Source organism: Homo sapiens, chromosome 1 (genome assembly GCF_000001405.40).
Source record: "Homo sapiens chromosome 1, GRCh38.p14 Primary Assembly".
NCBI classification, from domain to species: domain Eukaryota; kingdom Metazoa; phylum Chordata; class Mammalia; order Primates; family Hominidae; genus Homo; species Homo sapiens.
This window is the reverse complement of record NC_000001.11, coordinates 188,832,369-188,839,676: the sequence shown is the minus strand read 5'-3', so window position 1 is coordinate 188,839,676 and position 7,308 is coordinate 188,832,369. Positions and strand designations below refer to the sequence as shown.

The following is a 7,308-nucleotide window of genomic DNA, read 5'->3' as shown; positions in this document are numbered from 1 at the left end:
TTTAATGTCAATTTCATGTGGCCAAACGTGAGAAAAATTGAGACTGAAACGTTTGGGGCAAGATGAGATAGAATTGAGGTGTTCAAAAGCATAAGACATGAAGATCAAAAAGTATTTTACTCCAAGCTCATATTTATAAAATGTGAAATAAAAAATACATTAGAAAGGAATTGCAAGTTTATTCTCAGTGATATTTACTTTTTAAATTCACGTTGGTGCAATTCAACCTTAAAAAAAAAATCTCTGCTTTATCCTAGGTGCTATTTTAAAGTATTAAGGAAATGAATGTTTAATACAACTTTATAAGATTTGTTTGAAGTAATCTGACCAACTCTACTCCTCAAAGCTCTACTGTGCTAACAATTGAGACTTTTTAAAATATATATATATATATATATTAATCTGGAAGAAAATTAACCAATTACATCTTCTAATGTTGATAATGTACAATAATTTTTTCAATAAGTGTTTCTAATTTTGCCATATTTTCTACAACCAGCTGATATTGTCTTTAAATTATTTAAAAAGTTTTACAAAATTCTGCAACAATTCAACAACCTCTTATTTTTACCACTCCAAGGTCTTGTGGGTGATAGGTACAGGCCTTTCCAATATAAACATAAGCAGGCATTTTCTCTGGGATCTTAGGCAGCGACATCTTGGGGGACTTCACCTAAGGATTTTCTTTTTTTTTTCCAAGTTTTTTTTTTTTAATTATACTTTAAGTTCTAGGGTACATGTGCACAACGTGCAGGTTTGTTACATTTGTATACATGTGCCATGTTGGTGTGCTGCACCCGTTAACTCGTCATTCACATTAGGTATATCTCATAATGCTATGCCTCCCCCCTCCTCCCACCTCACAACAGGCCCCAGTGTGTGATGTTCCCCTTCCTGTGTCCCAGTGTTCTCATTGTTCAATTCCCACCTATGAGTGAGAACATGCGGTGTTTGGTTTTTGTCTTTCTGATAGTTTGCTGAGAATGATGGTTTCCAGCTTCATCCATATCCCTACAAAGGACACGAACTATCCTTTTTTATGGCTGCATAGTACTCCATGGTGTATATGTGCCACATTTTCTTCATCCAGTCTATCACTGATGGACATTTGGGTTGGTTCTAAGTCTTTGCTGTTGTGAATAGTGCCACAATAAACATACGTGTGCATGTGTCTTTATAAAAGCATGATTTATAATCCTTTGGGTATATACCCAGTAATGGGATGGCTGGGTCAAATGGTATTTCTAGTTCTAGATCCCTGAGTAATCACCACACTGTCTTCCACAATGGTTGAACTAGTTTACAGTCCCACCAACATGGTAAAAGTGTTCCTATTTCTCCACATCTTCTCTAGCACCTGTTGTTTCCTGACTTTTTAATGATTGCCATTCTAACTGGTGTGAGATGGTATCTCATTGTGGTTTTGATTTGCATTTCTCTGATGGCTAGTGATGATGAGCATTTTTTCATGTGTCTTTTGGCTGCCTAAATGTCTTCTTTTGAGAAGTGTCTGTTCATATCCTTCACCCACTTGTCGATGGGGTTGTTTATTTCTTGTAAATTTGTTTGAGTTCTTTGTAGATTCTGGATATTAGCCTTCTGTTGGATGAGTAGATAGCAAAAATTTTCTCCCATTCTGTAGGTTGTCTGTTCACTCTGATGGTAGTTTCTTTTGCTGTGCAGAAGCTCTTTAGTTTAATTAGATTCCAGTTGTCAATTATGGCTTTTGTTGCCATTGCTTTTGGTGTTTTAGACATGAATTGCTTGCCCATGCCTATGTCCTGAATGGTATTGCCTAGGTTTTCTTCTAGGGTTTTTATGGTTTTAGGTCTAACATTTAAGTCTTTAATCCATGTTGAATTAATTTTTGTATAAGGTGTAAGGAAGGGATCCAGTTTCAGCTTTCTACATATGGCTAGCCAGTTTTCCCAGCACCATTTATTTATAGATTCAATGCCATACCCATCAAGCTACCAATGACTTTCTTCACAGAATTGGAAAAAACTACTTTAAAGTTCATATGGATCCAAAAAAGAGCCCGCATTGTCAAGTCAATCCTAAGCCAAAAGAACAAAGCTGGAGGCATCATGCTACCTGACTTCAAACTATACTACAAGGCTACAGTAACCAAAACAGCATGGTACTGGTACCAAAACAGAAATATAGAGCAATGGAACAGAACAGAGCCTTCAGAAATAATACCACACATCTATAACCATCTGATCTTTGACAAACCTGACAAAAACAAGAAATGGGGAAACAAATGAGACTTTATTCAGAGCTCTAGGATCAGTCCATCTACTAGGTTCCAGAGGTTGCCTTGAATCATTCAGAGGGAATTAAGAAATCCTAGGTTACTATCTCAGGTTGAATTACTAGGTCATTCTTAATGCAAATCCAAAGCACAATGAGATGCCATCTCACACCAGTTAGAATGGCAATCATTAAAAAGTCAGGAAACAACAGGTGCTGGAGAGGATGTGGAGAAATAGGAACACTTTTACACTGTTGGTGGGACTGTAAACTAGTTCAACCATTGTGGAAGACAGTGTGGCAATTCCTCAAGGATCTAGAACTAGAAATACCATTTGACCCAGCCATCCCATTACTGGGTATATACCCAAAGGATTACAAAGACACATGCACATGTATGTTTATTGCGGCACTATTCACAATAGCAAAGACTTGGAACCAACCCAAATGTCCATCAGTGATAGACTGGATGGAGAAAATGTGGCACATATACACATGGAATACTATGCAGCCATAAAAAAGGATGAGTTCATGTCCTTTGTAGGGACATGGGTGAATCTGGAAACCAGCATTCTCAGCAAACTCTCGCAAGGACAAAAAAACAAACACTGCGTGTTCTCACTCACAGGTGGGAATTGAAAAATGAGAACACTGGGACACAGGAAGGGGAACATCACACACCGGGGCCTGTTGTGGGGTGGGGGGAGCAGGGAGGGATAGCATTAGGAGATATACCTAATATAAATGACGAGTTAATAGGTGCAGCACACCAACATGGCACATGTATACATATGTAATAAACCTGCACGTTGTGCACATATACCCTAAAACTTAAAGCATAATTTAAAAAAAGAAAAAAATAAATACTAGGCCATTCTTAAAGACACTGGGACACTGCTTATACTCTGATCCTAGTAATTGGGTTTAGGCCTTGTTTTGTTGTCAGTCCTTTAGTTATAGAAGAGAATACCTTATTTATTTTCCTACTTTTAAAATCTGTTCATGACCTTGTTCTACCTGAACTATATTTCTAAGTAATGACTCTGAACTCTGAACTAATGACAGCTGACTTAAGTCCTCCTACCTGAAAAATGTCCTTAATGTTAAACCTGAGCTTGTCTGTTTGTTACTGCAAGGTCTGTTGTCCTACAGCAAATAACAGAGCCCACATTTCTCTCTTGACAGCCACATATTTAACTCTTCCTATGCCTTCTTCTTCCTATCTATACAGAGCGAAACCTTTCTTCTATCACCATCCGCTCTAGAAACCATGATGTACTCCCAGACAATGGAGCATCTGTGCCTGCTTTAATTTTCTACTTGTCACATCTGCTGTTTATTGCTCTGAAATCTGTAATCATGAGTAAGCTCCCAAGGGGACTTTTTATAGTTACTGACCCAAAGGAACTTAATATATATTTCATGTATGCATGTACATATATTAAAGGGCTAGGAATATTATGAGGGGGATAATAATGTAAATCATGAATAACACATAAATGTTTTATATTAAGTGTTACAAAAGAGATAACATTTTATGGGTGTTTGAAGGAAGAAGTCATATCTAACTAAGGGAAGGCATGATGACAGAATGTCTCAGGTAGCAATTTCATAACAAGGTGATAAAAATTGATACCTATAGAGTGGATTTTAGAATTTCTTTGCTAATATTGGTAAATATAAAGCAAGAGTAACTGTGTCTGAATCTCTGCTCTGTGTGATCTTTTACAAGTAATAACACTGCTTTGCTTGATTTTCCTCATCCAAAAAAAGAGGATTTATCACAGAGCGTTAGAGGATCAAATTAGTTACTATAATAATTACTATTTTAACAAAGTTAAACATTTCCTGGCATGAGGAAATGCCAGGACATTTGGCAATTAACTTTATTAGTAGTAATAATTAGTAATTATTACTGTCATCATCACCAGGATTATCATTTTTATTATCATCATCATCTTATTAAGGAAAACGGTAAAAATAAGACAATTGGAGGCAAGCAGTGTGACATATATTGGATAGAATGAAGGTAATTCTGCTTATATGTTATTATTTTAGGTTGCTTTAAAAAATTAAATTGGGTTTGAAAAGAGATGCAGAAGATTTAAAATGGCATAATACAGTATATTAAAAATAATTCCCATTAGCAATAATAAAGTTAATGCCAAATTGCCTAGGTCTCATTAACGCATTAATTGTTCTTGCTATCTGTTAGAAATGAAGAGGCAGACATATGACTGAGGGAAATGAATTGTTCATAGTGTTCTGCTACTTTTTGTCATGATTAGCCTCAAAGTTTATTCGGTGTAATCAAATATAAATATTGAGTTTTGTCGATGGAGTGGAATCATCCTCTGAGAAATTAAATTTTCACCCTCTTTGTGGTAAACATATTAGTAATTTCATCCAAAGGTTTTCTGTTAAAAAAACAAAAAGGTCTTGGGAAGCAAAAAATGAGAAATTGGATAACCATGAGTATTCTGAAGATAAATAAGGAATTGTTTAAATGTAATTTAAATAGTTGATCAAGGATCTAAAATGGATAAGAACTGTAGTTTACAAAGTTTATATTGAACTAAGTAAAGTTGGCTTTTGGACACTTTTGGTAAACATTTGAGGACTTAGTAATAGATAAATGGAATTTTTAGTATTCCTTAAGGCATGTTAAGCAAAAGAGTATATTAGTGCATTTGTGCTTCTATAACAAATATCTGAGATTGGGTAATGTGCAAAGAAGATAAATTTTTTTCTCATACTTATGGAGGCTGAAAGTCTAAGATAAGGCACTGGAAGCTTTGGTGTCTGGTGAAGGCCCAGGCTCCGCTTCCAAAGGCACCTTGTTGCTGCATCCTCACAAGGCAGAAGGTGGAAAGGAAACTGGACTATCTAGTTTCCTCTAGCCCTTTTTTTTTTTTTTTTTTTTTTTTTGAGACAAAGTCTCCCTCTATCGCCCAGGCTGGAGTGCAGTGGCGTGATCTCGGCTCACTGCAAGCTCTGCCTCCCGAGTTCACGCCATTCTCCTGCCTCAGCCTCCCGAGTAGCTGGGACTACAGGCGCCCGTCACCACGCCCAGCTAATTTTTTTGTATTTTTAGTAAAGATGGAGTTTCACCGTGTTAGCCAGGATGGTCTGGTTCTCCTGACCTCTTGATCCGCCAACCTCAGCCTCCCAAAGTGCTGGGATTACAGGCGTGAGCCACCGCGCCCGGCCTCCTCTAGCCCTCTTATAAAGCCACTAATCTCACTCATGACGATGGAGCCCTCATGGCCTAATCACCTCCTAAAGGCCCCATCTTTTAATACTGTTTCATTGGGGATTCAGGTTTAGCCTGAAATTTGGAGGGGACACAAACATTCAAGCCATAGCAGAAAATAACAGATGAAACTTCCACAGAGTCATATAGTGTATTTCTTAAGTCCTGCAAAACTTTATGTGTCTTTCTCATTAATTAATTTTTACCTGAGTCCATTCCCTACACTTCCGATTGATTATGTGGGTAAAGAGTCTTTCCCTTTGCCTTTTTCATAAGAGCAGTGCCCTGGACAGATTTTGCCTATCCTCACATTTAAAAGTGCATCTACTTTATAATACCCAATCTCATATGTATCATTAAAATAATATATTCTAAAAGTTTGGGTTATTTTAATAGATATAACTAGAACTCTCAGACAAAAAAGAAAGCAAGAAAAGCTTACTGGTTACTGAGCAATTATAATTATGCCCAGTTATTGAGCAACATATATTAACTTTGTCTTATTTTATCACAACAGGAATTAATATTGATTTTAAAGATGTGAAAATAGAGTCTTAGATATAATATATTGTCCAAGCTTCCATATCTAGAAATTTCACGATTTTTTTTAATGAAAAGCTTAATTAGTCCTAAAGTAGTAAACTGGCTTAGTTATGCTTTTGATTTGGATAGAAAATATTCAGATTAGCAGTTATACATGAATATTAAAAATCAACGAGGAAGATTCTACCTATTGATAGCAAGTAGGCTCAGAAACTAATATATACAGAATTCCCCAAAGCAGTGAGCTTTTCTAATTTAATAAGGATATAAATAATATTTTTCTATTCCAATAGAATAGTTACAGGCCACACATATGCACAAGATGAGATAAATATCAGACAGTATATTTAAGTACAATTCATTGATCCGATTTTAAGAATGTTGATTAAATTTCCAACTATCTTGCAACATTATTGTTTAAATATTATTTTGCTAACATATGTGTTTACTTTATTATAGTTGAATGTCATTTGGGGAATTTTGAAAATAGTGAATAAAGTTAAATGAAAGTAAACTTTTAAGAATGGGGATTTGAAGTTTGCTATTGACTTAGAAAATTTTGTTTTATTAAATTTTACACATGAAAGAGCATTAATATAGACTATAGAGTAAAATATATCAGTGATGTTAACATTTTATTTTGGGGATGAAAGTTCTTTTGTCTACTGTCTCTCAATTCACCTTAAACAACATGGAAAAAGCACACTACCAAACCCTTTTCGTAAAACTACTTAGACTATTACCAGCGGTGACTTTCCTAATTTGGATTATTTTGTTTTATGAAATAAAATCTACAGCTATATCATATTGCAACATTGCAAAATTAAGTTTTTGACAACATTATTGAGGTATAATTTATATAACATACATTTTACCCATTGTAAATACATTAATATATGATTTTTAGTAAATGTATAGTTTTGTGCATCTATCACCAAAATGCAGTTTTAGAATATTCTCATCACCCCTAAATTGTTCCCTGAACCCTTCTGGAATTAATACTTACTCCCACACTGAGCCCTAGGCAACCACTGAACTCTTGTCTTCACAAATTTGCCTTTTGTGGACATTTTATATGAATGGAATCATACAATATTCAATCTGTTGAGTCTGGTGTGTTTCATTTAGCATAATGCTTTGGAGGCACATCCCTGTTGTAGCATATATCAGTAGTGTATTCCTGTTATTTCTGAATAGTATTCTGCAAGTACACGCCGTATAGTATTTATCAATTTACCAGTTCATAAATCATTTTATTC

The 7,308-nt window shown here is 35.4% G+C and overlaps 1 annotated feature.

Annotated features, from left to right (window-relative positions):
* Positions 4,962 to 5,162: a silencer, noted in NCBI's record as "peak536 fragment used in MPRA reporter construct". NCBI's record gives its function as "represses an SCP1 promoter by STARR-seq MPRAs in K562 erythroleukemia cells {active_cell/tissue: K562}" and the evidence as "EXISTENCE:reporter gene assay evidence [ECO:0000049][PMID:32103011]".